The 16,951-nt window shown below is 42.4% G+C and overlaps 1 long non-coding RNA gene and 1 pseudogene across 5 annotated transcripts in view; one reads left to right on the forward strand and one right to left on the reverse strand.

The window, feature by feature from the left end:
* The window catches only part of LOC107985664 (uncharacterized), a 270,484-nt gene that overhangs the window by 207,499 nt on the left and 46,034 nt on the right, over positions 1-16,951 (forward strand). The window lies entirely within an intron of this gene.
* Positions 9,913-12,454, reverse strand: TTC3P1 (tetratricopeptide repeat domain 3 pseudogene 1; annotated as a pseudogene). The gene has a single exon (NR_030737.1). The product of NR_030737.1 is annotated as a tetratricopeptide repeat domain 3 pseudogene 1 (transcript).

Below are 16,951 nucleotides of genomic sequence, written 5' to 3' on the forward strand. Positions count from 1 at the left end.
GGATTTTGTTTGCAAGAATTTTGTTGAAGATTTTTACATAAATGTTCATCAAGAATATTGGCCTGAGGTTTTTGTGTATGTGTCTCTCTGCCAGGTTTTGGTATGAGGATGATGGTGGCTTTATAGAATGAGTTGGGGAGTAGTCCCTCCTCCTCATTTTTTGAGGGAATATATTCAGTAGAAAATGTACCAGCTCTTTTTTGTTATCTTGTAGAATTTGGCTGTGAATCCATCTGGTCCTGGGCTTTTTTGTGGTTTGTAGGCTATTTATTACTGATTCGATTTCAGGTCCCACTATTGGTCTGATCAGGGATTCAATTTCTCATTGGCTTATGCTTGGAGCATGGCTGTAGCCAGGAATTTATCCGTATCTTCTAGGTTTTCTAATTTGTGTGCACAGAGGTGTTCTTAGTAGTCTCTGATGATTAATTGTATTTCTACAGGATCAATGGTCACATCCCCTTTGTCATTTCTGGTTGTGTTTATTTGGAAATTCTCTCTTTTCTGTTTTATTAGTCTAGCTAGAAGCCTGTCTATTGCATTATTTTTTTTCAAGAAATCAACTCCTGCATTCACTGATTTTTTTAAAATTTGGAGAGTCTTGATTTTCTTTCATTTAGCTCTGATTTTGATTATTTCTTATCCTCAGATAGCTTTAGGATTGGTTTGCACCTTTAGTTTTTGTTGTTGTTGTTGTTGTTGTTGTTGTTCTGATGTTTGGTCATTAATTTGAGATCTTTCTAACTTTTTGAAATGAGCATTTAGCACTTTTTTTTTTCTCTTACACTGCATTACTTGTGTCCCAGAGATTCTGGTGTGTTCTATGTTCTCATTAGTTTTAAAGAGCTCCTTGGTTTATGCCTTAATTTCATTATTTACCCCCAAATCATTCAGGAGCAGGTTAATTTTGATATAATTGTATAGTTCTGAGCGATTTTTTGTTTTCTTTTCTATTTTTATTGCACTGTGATCAGAGAGAGTGGTTGGTATGATTTTAGTTCTTCTACTTTTGCTGAGGGGTGTTTTATGTCCAATAGTGTGGTTGATTTTAGAGTATATGCCATGTGGCAATGAGAAGAATGTATATTTTCTTGTTTTGGGGGTGGAGAGTTCTACAGAGGTTTATCAAATCCATGTGGTCCAATGTTGAGCTGAGGTCCTAAATACCTTTGTTAATTTTCTGCCTTGATGATCTAATACTGTCAGTGGAATTTTGAAGTCTCCGCCAATTATTATGTGGGAATCTAAGTCTCTTCATAGGTCTCTGAGAACTTGCCTTATCAATCTGGGTACTCCTGTGTTTGCTGCATATATACTTAGGATTGTTAGGTTTTCATGTTAAATTGAACGTTTTATCATTATATAATGCCCCTTTTTGTCTTTTTTGATCTTTGTTGGTTTAAAGTCTGTTTTGTCTGAAATTTGGATTACAACCCCTGATTTTTTCTGTTACCCATTTGCTTGGTAGATTTTCCTCCATCCCTGTATTTTGAGCCTATAAGTGTCACTGCATGTGCGATGGGTGTTTTGAAGAGCATAACATTAAGTCTTGCTTTTATTACACAGATTTCCACTCTGTGCCTCTTAAATGGGGCACTTAGCCCATTTACATTCAAAGTTAGTATTTATATGTGTGGATTTGATACTGTCATTGTGTTTTTAGCTGGCTATTGTGCTGACTTATTTGTGTGCTTGCTGTAGAGTGTCACTGGTTGGTGTACTTAAGTATGTTTTAGTATTGGCTGGTAATGGTCTCCTTTTCATATTTAGTGCTCCTTTCATGATCTCTCATCTGGCAGGGCTGATGATAACAAACTCTCTGAGTGTTTGCTTATCTGAAAAGGATATCATTTCTGCTTTGCTGAGGAAGCTTAGTTTGACTGGTTATAAAATTCTTGGTTGAAACATTTTTCTTTAAGAATGTAATATAGGCTCCCAATCTCTTCTGGCTTGTAGAATTTCTGCTGAGAGGTCCACTGTTAGCTCAATGAGGTTCCCTTTGTAGGTGACTTGGCCTTTACTTCTAGCTGCCTTTAACATTACTTCTTTCATTTCAACCTTGGAAAATTTGATGACTCTGTGTCTTGGAGATTATCTTTTTGCATAAAATCTTGCAGGGGTTCTCTGTATTTCCTGAATTTTACTATTGGTCTCTCTAGCGAAGTTGGGGAAATTCTCATGGATGATATCTTGAAATATGTTTTCTAAGTTGTTTCCTTTCTACTCACCCCTTTCTATGATGTCAATAATTTTAATATTTGGCATCTTTATATAATCATATATTTTTCAGAGGTTCATTCATTGCTTTTCATTCCTTTTCTTTATTTTTGTCTGACAGTCCTATTTCCAAAAGCCAGTCTTCAGGTTCTGAGATTCTTTCCTCAGCTTGGTATATTCTGCTGTTAATAATTGTGATTACATTGTGCAATTTTTGTAGTGTGTTTTTGAGCTCTATCAGATCAGTTTCTTTTTTATACTGGCTATTTAATCTGTCAGCTCCTGTATCTTCTTATTTTGATTCTTAGTTTCCTTGGACTAGGTTTTGCCATTCTCATGAATTTCAATGATCTTCATTTTTATCCATATTTTGAATTTTATTTCTGTCATTTCAGCCAACTTAGGCTGATTAAGAACCTTTGTTGGTGAACTAGTGTAGTTGTTTGGAGGACATAAGACACTCTGACCATTTGAGTTGCCAGAGTTCTTTCATTAGTTCTTTCTCCTCTCTGCATGTGGTTGTTCCTTTTACTTCTGGGCTGCCTCTGATCGAACTGATCAGGTGGGGGCAGGGTGGTTATGCTGGAGTCCCAGATTGAGCATTCCTTCCCAGTAAGGAGAAGTGTGGATCAGGACCTGCATAAAGAAGAGTCTGGCCTTTTTTCCATGAAGTGGATGCTCTGTACTGGGGGTCTTCACCAGCCTCTGGTCCCTGAAGAATTTTCAGAGCCTGGAGACAGCAAGGTTGAGGGTTGTGAGATCACAAAGATGGCAACCAGTCCCTCTCACTGGGAGTTCTGTCTTGGGAAGTTGCAGAATTGCTGCTGGCTCAATAGCTCTGGTGGCAGTTGGCTGGAGACCCAGGCCAGGAGGACCAGTTGAATGAAGAGATACAGGATCAGGGACCCATGTAACAAAGTGTCTGTCCACTTCTCCATAGGAATGCTGCAGTATAATGGGGGTCCACTCCAGTCCCCGGTCACCTTGGATTTTCCAGTACCTGAAGGTGGCAACAGTGAAGGCTGCCAAACAGTAAAGATGGCAGCCTGTTCCTTCCTCTGGGAGCTCCATCCCAGTGAGGTACGGCTCTGTTGCCAGCCTGAACGCACCTGCAGGAAGTAGCTGGAGACCTTGTTCAGGAAATATCACCCAGTGAAGAGTAACAGGATCAGGGACCCACTTAAAAAAGCAGTCTGGCCATTTTTTCATAAAGCAGCTGTTCTGTGGTAGGAATCCACTCAATCCCTTAGTCACCTCGGACTCTCCAAGGCCCACAGGCAAGAACAGCTAAGGCTGCCAAACAGCAAAGTTGGTGGCCCAAACTTTTCTCTGGGAGCTTCTTCCCAGGAAGGTTTGGAACTGCTGTTGGCTGGAAAACACTGGTGAGAGCAGCTGGATACTGTGGTTGGGAGGTCCCCCCCAGTGAAGAGGAATAGGATCGGGGACCCACTTTAAAAAGCAATCTGGTCACATTTTCATACAGCAGATGTGCTGTGCTAGGGGTCTGCATTAGCTCCCAGTGACCAGTGACCTTGGACTTTTCAAAGCTCAGAGGCAAGAACAGCTAAGGCTGCCAAACAGCAAAGATGGTGGCCTTCCCCTCCCTCTGGGGGCTCTATCCCAGGGAAGTTTGAACTGCTGCTGGCTGGAAAACATCTCCAGGGTAGCTATAATCCTGGTTGGGAGGTCCCACCCATTGAGGATGAATGGGATTTGAGACCTGCTTTTAAGAAGCAGTCTGGCCACATTTTCATAGGGTAGCTGTGCTGTGCTGGGGGTCTGCTCTAGCCCCCAGTTGTCTCAGATGCTCCAAAGCCCGAAGGCAAGAATGGCTAAGGTGGCCAAACAGAAGAGATGGCAGCCTATTCCTCCTTCTGGGAGCTCCATTCCAGGGAGGTTTAAAACCGCTGATGGCCACATAACACCAGCAGGGGTGACTGGAGACCCCAATCACGGATTTTTCCCAGTGGAGAGAAACAGGATTTGAGACCTACGTGAATAAGCAGTCTGACTGCTTCTCTATTTAGCCTCTTGGCTGTGCCAGAGGATCGCTCCAGTCCCTATTTGACTCAGACTCCCTAGAGCCCTAGGGCACTCGCTAAGGCTGTGAAGCAGCAAAGATGGTTTCCCACTCCTCCCCCTGGGAGATGTGTCTCAGGGAGGTGTAAAACCGGCGCAAATCTGTCTGGCTCAGAAAAATGCACATAGTGGACTGAAATATTCCGGGTGATGGCCCTACAGAGATACAGTGCCTGGTCCCACCTAACAGTGATGGTAGGTCCCGCATACCATTGCGTCTGGCTTATCATCAGCAATCATTTTGGCCCAGCCATGATAGTGCCCTTTGTGAACTCAGGGTGGTGGCTGGCTGGGGTTCCAAGCCAATGGGTTTTATCCTGTGAGGTGCCATGAAAACAGGACCTGCAGAAAATCTCTGCTCAGCCCCCTGGATTCAACCCCTTTTCTAAGGGTATATATGTATGGGGGTCTATGCCAGAGTTAAGTTGCTTTTGCTGGGAAGCATGGGTATCTAAGGTTCTTGGGGCTCTGCATGTGCCTGAGTGGCTGCTCTGCCAAGATTCCACATAGCTATGACTGAAGGCCCTGGCAGAGTGGGTTCATTAGGGAATCTCCTGAACTAGAAGTTGCAAAGAAGCGTGGGTTCCCAGGGTTTCTCAATCACTCACTGCTTCCCTAGGCAGGGGAGGTTCTCCTGGCTCTGTGTCACTCCCAGGTGGGGAATTGGCCTGCCTTACATTTCTCTGTTCTTCGTGAGTTGAGTTATTTCCTTGATTAGTTCCAATGCATGTACCTGGATATTTCAGTTAAAGGTGCTGTATTTACTCACTTTTTCCGTTCCTTTCCATGACAGCAGCACACCTTCATTTTTTAATTACTTTTTTTTCCTCAGACTGTATTTTCAAATAGGTGGTTTTAGCTCACTGATTTCTTTCTCTGCATGATCCGTTCTGCAGTTAAGAACCTCTAGTGAATTTTTCAGGTCAGCAAATGCATTCCATAGTTCAACAATTTATTTGATTTTTAAAAAATGATTTCAATTTCTTTGTCAAATTTTTCTCCTAAGTTTCTGAATTGCTTTTCTGTATTATCTTGAAGATTATCGAGTTTCCTTCAAACTGCTATTTTGAATTTTTGGTCGGAGAGCTCACATTAAGGTCAGTCACCAGATCCTTGCTTTGACTGTGGAGGTCACAGTTCCCTGTTTTCTTTTGTTTCCTGTGAATGTACGTTTATTTCTTTGCATTGATAGATTAGTTATTTATGCCAGTCGTCTCTGTCTGGCTTGTTTTGGTTTTTATTGCATTTGTTTGCTAGAGATTCGTTTTAGTTTTTCAATTTCTTTCTCTGTACACCTGCCCCTCCCCCACCCCACCACTGGGTTACTACCTCCTTTTTGGCACTACATGATGCCTTAAGCCCAGGTTTGCCTAAGCTTTCATAACAGATCCCAGCACTGCTCATCCCCAGTGGTGGAGGTTCTAAATGGGATAACCTGATAGTGTGGGAAGGCTGGCTGGGGGTTGTGCCGAGTGGGCCTGTGGAATGAACCACTTACAGCATAGTGCTGCTGAATAGCCACTCTGAATGGTGTCCTTTTTGTCTGAGTAACACAGCAGAGTTCTCAGGGCTGTGGGTGATAATGTCCCACTTCCACCCTTTGTGCCTGGCTGTCCTCAGGGAGATTTCTTTTTATGGGCACTCATGATGCATCCTGTGGGTTAAGGCAGGGACGGTTCTCCTGCCAAGAACTCAAGATGGTGGAGGAGCTGGTTGTCTGCCTCAATCTCAGGTATTCCAGTGTAGAACACATAAGTCTGGGGAAATTTTTCTGCATCATTGGTGCAGGGCAGATTGTGGTTGATGTGTTGCAGACATAGAAATCCAAATCTCTGTCTGCTTGGATTTTTTTTTTTTTTACTTCTCTGTGCCCCTGGAACTGCCTAACCTTCATATTTGAGTTCTCAGATATTGCTGGTGACAATCTCAACACTGTACGTTTGATTTAGGTTTTCTCAGGGAGGGAGGGTGAGTGAAGCCAGCTTGCTTCTATCCTGCCATTTTGGAACTGGAAGTTCATCTTTTTTTGATCTGTTGATTTGATAACCAAGAAGGCTGCTAAGTAGCTAATGGGCAAGTAGCTTCTCAGATGATATAGGTTTGATTACCTTAGAGCCACATAGTTCATTTTTTTTTTCTTTAAATGTGCTGAATGCTACTCCTGTGTTAATTTTCTTTGTGCTTGTCTCTGAACCATGTGAAACTGCTTTTCCTGGATTTTCCATCTTGCACTATCATTGCTCTCTGTTACAAGATGCTGCAAAAGGTTTTGCTAACAAATTACTTCTTGTGTTCTATACAGAGATAGTCCTGGGTTCATGAGTGCTACTCACACACCCAACTTCTCTCTAATGATGCCCACTGATGCCCTATTAACCCACAGAAGATGCTTTTTTTATATGAAGTGTGATGGCAAATTAATAGATGGCAAATTGATTTGCAAAAGTTTCTCCAGGTGACAAGGGAGAAGCTTGTTTTCTTACAAGATGATCTCACACCTGCCCCTGTGTGGTCTTCCAACTCTACACCCTGCATGAGAGAAAACCTTCCATTGGCCTCACTCTTGAAATAGATAGGGCAGATACCCCACTGGGGATGCCTGCAGGAGAGTTTCCTCCATGCCTTCCTAGGAACCAGAATAAGGAGATTAAGGTCCAGATTGTGAGAGCAAACCGTCCTTCATGAATGAACACTCAGTGCACCAAAACCTCACTGACTTTTCTAAGGGTAGCCGATGTTCTCCGAAATTCTGATTTACAGACAACTGAAGGCCCCCAAGGGCCTCCCAAGAGAAAGGTAGACTATCACATGTGAACACAGAGGCCTATGGGACAACTTTTTGTCAGAATTTTAAAGGCAATGTGGGACTGTTTCTCATAAGTTCTCACTTAAACATATTGTCCTGCCTCATATGGACTATGTCTATCTCTTCCCTATTTGCAAGTTAGAGAGAAAGAGGATCTCCTGTCACCATGGTCTTGGCTGTTTTCTTATCATACCTCCCAAAAGAAAGGCCTGAAATGGACAATTTGTTTCTGGTTTTGAAGAGTGAGGCTATTGAGCCATGCTGAAGTAAAAAGGGGAAGGCAGCTCCTGCCTTTGGTCTGGTGGATCATCCCTGCTTACCTGCCTGTACCCCTTGCACCAACCTCTAGCTGTCTGCTTTTTCCAGATCTGTCTGGTCCTGGTTTGCACACCTGTTCATGGGGCTCTCCAGAACTGCCTTTCCACGATGGCTCTGCTTTGTGTGCAAAAGGAACAGTACTGCCCACCAGGAGGAGGATAGGCCAGAAACCCAGAAAGATTTCTAGAAAGAGGCTATAACTGGAGCAGAAGTAGGGATCAAGGGATGGAGGGAAGGGGTCTGTTTTCAACTACAGAAGTAACATCCAGGGTGTCAACCACGTTTCTATGGAAGTGTGCATATGTGTGTGCACACACATATACAGCTGTAGATTAGCCCTAGCTGCTGTGAAAGTAGACTGTGCTGTGTGTCTGGTATTTTTCAAACAAGTATCACAGTGACGGACAAGGTTCTGTCTACTTTCCTAACCTTCATTTCTCTTCTTTCTTCATTCACCTCCATCTCCTTCTCCTTTCTCCTTATCCTTTATTTCTTCTTCATCATTATCTTTGTGTCTTTGTCTTAATCTTTTTTTCTCTCTATTTTACCTTCTTCCTCTCTTTTTCTTCCTCCTCTCTTTTTTACCCTTTTCATTCTCTGTTAACAGCCCCAACCCTCTTGCAGTTATCCACATAGGGCCTTCTTCCAGCTATCCCCACCCCTCCAGATATCTATATTCAGCTAATCCTTGCAGAGTCCTTCCTGCATTATGTCTCTTCTTTTCTGTGGCCATCATTTTTCTGGCTGACTCTAAGTCTCCTCAATCTGAACCAGTTTCCATGATTTTCCCAACCTCAAATGTTCCCAATATTTTTATTAAAGTAATCATTGTAAACCTTCTGGTCCTTTGCACACATCAGCAAAGTTCTTTACAGGGCACCTCTGGTAACTTATCACCTTTTGCTTTTAACTCTTTCTTTTTTCTTTCTTTTTTTTTTTTTTTTTTTTTTTTTTGCTCGTTTTAGAATGTTCTTTATTCTGACAGTTGTTGGACAAATATAAGGCATGTTCACAAGTATCTGAAGTTATGTACAAAACACACTCATTCGACAGATATTCCTATTCTCCTTTTGTACTTGCTGCTGCAAACTGATCTTTCTGCATGTTAACACCCATAGCGCTCAATTCTTATGGATATGCAGAGAATGTTTTGGGGACCACCGTGGAGAACCTGTTTCAAACTAAGACGTAAGCTTCTTTGAACTAAGTCACTAAGACATCAGAACTCACGGTGAACAAAGGCAGAGGAAGGTGACCAAATCAGCTCATAATCTCATGACTCTAAGTTTACAGTGGAACAAAGAACACATTGAAAAACATTTTTTGATCCTTCATGTTGGAGAGAAATGGAATGTGTCCAGAATTCATGGTTCTACATTTATCACTGTCTAAAAGTCACAAAACAATATCTAATTTTTTCATGGTTTCAAATGCAGTTACAGTTTTGTTCTTAGGCCACAGTACAAGATTGCATGCATTACTTTACACAAATGTCAAACACAGAATGATTGTAACACAGACAGCTCAGGGTTGTCTAAAGACACAGCTTCTCTTTTTGTGGTGGGGTCGGGAAGGAGAATGATGGTGGCCATTTCCATACACAGCCTGTTGTGTGCTCAGCACGGCTGGATGCGGATCCCAAGAACTTGCTGACTGACTCACAGAAGAGGACAGAAGCTGCTGAGGAGGGCAGCAGAGTTCAAAGAGCAGTCTCCAACTGGGGGCTGGGATGACGGACACAGAGCCTCGATTCCAGGGGGAAAAAGTCTTAGTCAATACTAATTAAAAACTGTTATCGATTTTTGAAAATCAGATTACATCTATAAAAGATGAAAAGTAAACACTTAAAACAATCTATTGAGGGGAACATAAAATAATAAAAAATGAAATGCAGCTGGGATTTCACAAAGAGGAGATTTGAATCTTTTGGTCTCAATCAGCCAATATTTTAACATTAACTATAAATTATTAAAATGTAGTTTGCTTATGCCCATTCTTAAAATGCAGAATCTTTGAGGAAAAATATAGGCATATTTTCAGGAATACAGACTCTTGTGAAAAATTTTAAAAGTCAGTATCATCTCTCTTGCGGAGCTACTGAACAGGTTTTTCAAACACAAAAGGGGAACAAACATGGGGCGCTTGAATATGTTAAAAATTCTTTTTTTTTTTGAGACAGAGTTTCGCTCTTGTTGCCCAGGCTGGCGTGCAATGGCGCAATCTCGGCTCACCACAACCTGCGCCTCCGAGGTTCAAGCAATTCTCCTGCCTCAGCCTCCTGAGTAGCTGGGATTATGGGCATGCACCACCATGCCTGGCTAATTTTGTGTTTTTAGTAGAGACGGGGTTTCTCCATGTTGAGGCTGGTCTCAAACTCCTGATCTCAGGTGATCCGCCCGCCTCGGCCTCCCAAAGTACTGGGATTACAGGCGTGAGCCACCGCGCCCGGCCGAATATGTTAAGAATTCTTATCACTAGAATACTGCTTTGAGGCGCTCACAGTACTTTCCAAAAGAAACTACCCACCTCAAAGAGCCCTGCACAGCCCAAGCGACCCATGAGTGTGGTAGCCATCATTTTGTTAGCCACTGCTTGGCCATCATCAAAGTATTCACTCAGAGTGGGGAAATTACTTAATATCAATGATATTAACGATTTCCATGGATTTAGCTTTGTAACACACAATGCACAAGGGTCTTCAGATGTTTGCTTTTTACACCAATGGTAGGAAATTGTCATTCTTCCGATTCAACACGCTGGCGGATGACGCTTTAGTGAAGTGTGACTACCTAGAGGAGCAGGAAGGCGGCTCCCGATTCTCACTGGGCCAGCCTCTTCCAGAAGGTGCAGGCTACTCTTCTGACAGGAGATCACAAGTCTGGCAGGCTGGGCAAGCGCTCTGCCCTTTAAGCCACTGCTTAAAACACCCTTTGTGATACTTGTGCCCACATTTGAGCACACGCACGTTTTTTGATTTGAACACCTCGTGACATATTTCACAGGAACTTGCACCCAGTGCAACCCTCACAGGGACATCTTCTGCTTTCTGCCCCTTGGTTTTGGGTGATGGTGCAACAACCGCCAAGGGTGGGCCCTGGGAGGACCTGGTCACGTGGGCGGCAGAGCTGGGCTCATAAGTCCTCTTGTCCTTTCCTGGGTTTGGCTTTTTCTTTTTCTGTTCATCTAGAATGTGTTCTGTCACTCTTTGGACAATTTCATCAATACTCAATCCTGAAAGTGAGTTCTTGTTTTTGCTTCTCACTTTTTTAATAAAACCAGCAAGCTCAGTGCTGTTGTAACATGGGAATACCACTGACAGGTGCTCAATAATACTATTGAATGGCTTTTTTGGAGACTGGCTTGAACATGCAGCACACCCTGGAGGAACAGGCTGCTTCTGATCAGCCGCAGGGCTTTGCTCTGACAGAGCTGCCTGGCCAGCCCCTTTTGGCCCTGGCAGCTGAGTGGCTTCAGGCTGAGAGGGGGGTGGCCCTGGCAACAGTGCAGAAGGAGCCTCCCCTGGGGAATCGCCGGCAGAGAACACACTGGGATCCCTGTGAAGTGCTGCTTGGTTTCCAGTCACATCGCTTGCGGAAGTCATAAACCCTTGGTCATCATGGCCTGAAGACTCAGGGAGTAACTCAGGATGAACCGTGTTACAGGCAGGAAATGAAAGCTCAGAAATCTGCACTTTAGAAAGTTCACTGAGCCGAGAACCATTTTTAATTGCCTTAATTTGTTCTTCAAACTGATACTTTGCTTTCTCAGTTTCTTTTGTAACATTAGAAAGAAACAATTCCCATGAACATATATCGGACTCCATGTCAGGATATGCTGCAGGATCATGGCTAATCAGCTCCAGCTTCTTCAGATAGGCTTCTGCTTGTGACTGCATGATCTGTAGCTTATACACTTCACTCTCCTTCCAGTTTTCAAGTACGGATACCTCTGCAGCCACAGCTCTCTGATGACTCTCTTCATAATCCTTTTTCCCTTTCTTTATACACTCTTCTATTTTCATTTTCTCGTTTGTAAGTGTGTTGCTGATTTCAAGGGACTGATCCAGATGTAATTCATGTTCCTTATCGTTTCCATCATTTTTCTGGGTATACATTTCATTGGCATTTGAAACCTTTTTAATTTTCTTCTTCAGTGATTTTAGTGTTTTTTGGATTTCTTTTTTTTCCTCTTGCCATTTTTTAATTTCTCTTTCCAAATCTTGAAGCAACCAATCTAATTCTGTCTTTGATATCTTGTTTTCTTCTAAGTGCCTTTTCAACTTTTCTTCCAGGTCCCTGGTCTCTTCTAAGCCCTTAAGTTTTATCTGCTCATAATTTTCATACGCTTCTTTAAGTTGGTCTTGTAATACTTGGTACTCCTTTTCAATCCGTGAAATTTCCCCTTGTTGTTTCTCAAAAGGATTATATGGCTCAGTATTGACTTCTTGGTGTGTTATGTTCCAAGATACCTGTATGGCAACCATCTGCACCTGTGGAATGTTTGTTACTGCACTGGTGCTTTCTGGAATTACTTCACATTTGTTGTTAGAATTTCCACAGTGCCCATCTTTTCTGTTAGACTCACTCAGGACTGTATGAGCATCACCTGTGCTGCACTGTGACTTTACAGATATTAACGAAGAATCCTCAAGGATCTGTGTTTCGGAGGCAATCTGGTGACCAGCAGCATTCTCAGCATTCAAATGATGACCCTCAAAATAGGCAGTAGCATTTTTATCTGCTCTGTCATTGGCTACAAAAGACGGCACCACTGGTACTGATCTTGGTAGCTGATATTCAGGAGAAAGGCTGACCAAGGGTGTATATATGCTGGTGTACTGGGGCAAACCTGGTAACACATTTATGTATGCTGGCGATGTCCGGGTGTTATCAAATCTCTGGAAAGGAAGATACGTACAGTATCCTGTGACCAAATGGGATTGAGCCCAATAAGTTGGTTTCACATCCTCAAGAACCGGTTTGGGAGAATTAGAGGAGACTCGCTTGTAATTTGCATCCTCAGAGCCTGGTTTGGGAGAATTAGAAGAGAACCCTTTGGGTTTCCCATCCTCAGAAACTTGTCTAGAAGAATTATCGGATACTGGTTTGGCCTTCACATCTTCACAAGCTGGCTTGGGAGAATTTGCAGACAAAGGTTTGGGTTTCACATCTTCAGAAGCTGGTGCTGAAGATGAACCTGATACTGGTTTAGACTTTACATCTGGTTTAAATTCCCTAGCAGCTGAATTAAGTGGTAGTTTAACTTGTAAATACTCTCCTGCTTTTGAAATGTCTTCTACTTTTGTTTTAATGTTTTTCTTCTTTCTTTTTTTCTTGAGCCGTGATGCAACTTTCTTCAATGCAATACAGTTGTCAATCACAACAAAACGGGGACATCCCAAGAGAAAAGATTTTAAACCTCCTGCTTTTTCTAGTATTGGTCGAGTTTCTTCTGGGAAAAACTCATATTCTTCAGAGAACATCTTGTGACTCATGTCCAAGGGACCATGTTCCTCCAACAACTGAGAGAAGTAATCATATAGAGTTGAACATTTTTGTTTTGGGTTCATGTCCCATAGCTTCTTATTGCGGACAACATATTCATTACTGTGTTGGTCATAGAGAGCTTCAAATTCTTCTACGTCTTGCCGAAGATGGTCAGGCACTGCAAATGGGCCTGCAGTATCTGAATTTTGATTGCTATGGTCTTCACTTGAAGTGATGATCTCATTATTTGGAGTTACTGAAGTTGTTCCAGACCCAACTAACATAGGCTTTGAATCCTTTGGTTTCTTTTTCTTGCCTTTGTTTTTCACCTTGGTAGAACTAAACGGTGCTTCGCCACTGTCTTGTTTCCTTAACACAGTACAGCGGCTGTCCATTATATCAAAGAATTCATCTAAAGCACTATGTAATGCTGGGAACTTGTCTCTGTGTTCTTCTAGCAGCCATATTAAACAGCGGGCTTCCTTCGATGATGTTGGCTCAAAGAAATAATCAAGTTGCTTTCCTTCTATAGAGTCTAGTTTGTGACCATATTTCTCATTCCAGAGGAAAGTCATGATGCTAAAATCAAGCTGTTTAAGAGATGCTTCATACCGAGAAAAGAAAGGTCCTGTGGCATCTAAGCCAAAGCTATTAAGTTTTCGGATCCAGGCGGCTAATTTGGGCTCCACTTCTTTAAGCTCACTCAAAACATGCAGAAATATTCTTGTCTTTACTCTGTTCTTTTCTTGAATCAAGTGACGAATAACATAGTCCACTGCTTCATTTAGAAAATTTCTGCTTGAAAAACAGGTTGTATAGTCCTCTGTGCTCAAAACTTTCCAAGAAAGTAATTCTTTGAGAAGCGTGGCTGTATTCCATATGCCGGATTTAATCTTGTCAGCATACTGCTTTATACACTGTAGAATTCTGTCATCAAGGAACTGACAATGCTGAACATTGTCTACAGTTTCTTTCTGCTCTTCGTTTTTGGGTGGATTACTTTCTCTTAAGTCCTCCTCCATTCTTTCTTGTGCTAATTTTTTTGCTTCTTTTTTTTGGATCTTTCTCTTCAATTTTTTGTCTTCTTTCAGTCTTAGTTTCTCTAGGCTAGAACATTTCTGTTTCAGAATAGGTCTTGGAGGAACCTTTTCTTTTATGACCTTGTGTTCAAATTCACATTTAACTTGACCACCACTGCTGAAGATGATAATCTTAGAAATGACACCTTCACAGTCAGGGGTAAGACATATTCCTTGTAGAAAATCCTTGTCAATTTTATCATTAAAGGTTGTGGTTTTTAACTTCTTCCAGCAATTCATGTGAAATTCTATTTTACAGTACTGGCAACAGCTGATGCGTATAAAACCCTTAAAGTCTGGATCAGTTATGTATATCTGGATCTTAGAATATCCACAGCACTTCTGATAGCAACAAATGGCATCTGGCACTGGAGGGAACTTGCATTCTTCAACAAATTTCTCTAACAGCATCTTTATTTTTTCTGGCTGAGACTCTTCAATAATCACATTACTTGTGGGCCAAGTTAACACTCCAGGAAGACGATAAATCAAGGTTCTTGCTTTCTCAAAGTGATTGAGAGCTTCTAGAAATCTGTTTTTTTTCAAATATACTTTTCCAATTCCACAGTAGGCCAAGCAATCAAGTCCCTCATTGTGGTAGTGTTCAATAATCCTCTTAAACTGGTTTTCAGCTTCAGATAGTTCTTCAGGCTGTCCTATTCCAAGGAGTGAAATGGCAAGTCCATAGACAACCAAGACATAGTTAATCATGGCCAGATTCAATTGCTTTATTTTTTGAGGATCTAAACCATTCAGCAACTCTGTAAAGGCATGTGCGGCACTGCGGCAACGCTGCTCCAATAAGGCTGTATAGCCATCTTGAATTAAGCTTCTCAGCATTGTCATTATATTAGCAAAATCCTGGTGTGCACCTCTGGAAGATTTAGAAAACTGTTTCTCCAAGATGTTCTTCAAATCTGCTGGTAAAGTCAATTGTGAACTAGAACTGAACTTTTCTGATTCATTGTTTCGAGATTTTTGTTTTCCTTTATGTTTCGGAGGCTGACTTGATGGTGGTGAAAATTCAGGATGACAGTCACAATCATCTACCATCAATGCCTCATCCATCACCTTTAGATTCTGATTACCACCGTTAGCCATTTCGTGATTAATTTTTCTGAAATCTCTTTCCTTCTCCACAAAGTTAAGTGAAGTACTAAATACAGGTGCTGATAAACTCCTAGGTGTGTAGGCCCTGTTTTCATAAAAGGCTTTAATTGGATTCTTATTTGCTGTTCGACCTTGTAGGTCTTCTATTTGTTTTTGTAACTTTACATGCTGCTGAATTAGATCCTTGATTCCCTCAGGGTCATTTTTACAGAGTTTTTGAGCTGTTATGTTTGCTTGCAGGGCCCAGTTATATTCCCCCAGCATAGAAAGAGCATCACAATAACGATAATGACCCTTTGGCCAAGTGTTCTTCAGAATAGTGGCTCTCTTTCCATCACCAAGTGCATTTCTAAACTGTCCAGTACGAAGAAAACAAAGAGCTCGGTTACCATAAAGAAGGTGGTTTTCAGGTCTATATTCAATGGCTCTGGTGTAATAGATAATAGCTATATCAAATCTTTCTTTGGAAAACTCTTCATTTCCTTTCATTTTCATTAGTTCTCCTTGCTCTATACAATCCATACAACTTTGGGTTTTAAGTTCTTCAAGCAAATTGCAGTCTTCCATTACAATTTTAGTTATGTGGTACTTGTATTCAGTAAAGAAAATACTTAACATAGGCCAACAATTGTCAATTGATCCTAATTTAGTTAGAATTGTTACATCGCCTGCATATTTTATCCAATTCAGAGCTTCTTCCATTGCCAAGATTTTATTTTCTATTTTATAACCAATTCTCAATAAGCCTCCAATAAGGAGTGAATCATTAGCAGCTTTCTTTGCCAAATCCACAATATCTTCCATCAACTCAAGATGTTGTAATCTCTTCAAATTTATCTCGGAAGCACGTGAATTGTTGGCGTCCACACAGGGATGCAATCGTGATATTACAGAACTGTTTTGATGTTGAAACAGAAGTGGCCAGAAGATGTTTATTTTAATGGCATCACAATAATCTTGCAGGACAGAAATTGGTTTACTACACCATATACTGCAGATGTCAAATTCTAAATTCCTCTCACTTTGGACATAATCTTTATATTGCTTACCCACCCCATCACAGTAAAGCTGAGTCACACGAACATAATCATCGGTCATAAATTCAGCAGCAAAGACACAATCGTCCACGTAAGGGCAATCTTCTAACAAGGCATAATCCGCCATAGTGAAATCTCCCTCAGCAAAATTGTCCGTGATGCACAAGTCACGCACACACGGAGGGGTGTGGAAGGCCCCGCTCCCCTGGCATCTCGGCTGCAGCGGGACCAGGTAACACATCCGGGAGCCCGGCCGCGCGCCGGGTGTGCACTCACCCGGGCCTGCCGCCCGCGAGCCTGGGACGCAGGCATCCGCCGCCGCCGCCGCCGCCACCGCCGCCGCCGCCGCGGCCGCCGCCGCAGCAGCCGCCGCTGCCGCCGCCGCCGCCGCTGCTGCCGCTGCCGCTTCCGCCGCCGCCGCCGCCACCTCCGGCCCTCTACGTCAGCGGACGGTGGGAGGGAGCGAGTGCTTTTAACTGTTTCGGTGTCAATACTGACCACAGTCATTATTTTCTCCGGCTGTACTTTAAAGTCTTAATGGTTGAAGCCATGTATCCTTTGCCCACAGACCAGAGGAAGGGGAACCAGGTTCTTTCAGGAAAGTGCATGGGGGATGCCTCTCTCTCATCATGTCCCCTGACTCCCAGGTGTAATCATAATCTCCTCATGGAAGTGCCAGGCACATAGAGAGTGCTCTTCCTGCTGCCTCCACTCCTGCTAGACAGAGCCCTGTCAAGGTCATCCTAAGGGCTGGGATCCACTAACAGCTTTGACCTTAAAGCAGAGTCTGATATTGGGGATGTCATTTCTTCACTCTGA

The sequence above is a fragment of the Homo sapiens genome, chromosome X (assembly GCF_000001405.40).
Source record: "Homo sapiens chromosome X, GRCh38.p14 Primary Assembly".
NCBI classification, from domain to species: Eukaryota; Metazoa; Chordata; class Mammalia; order Primates; family Hominidae; genus Homo; species Homo sapiens.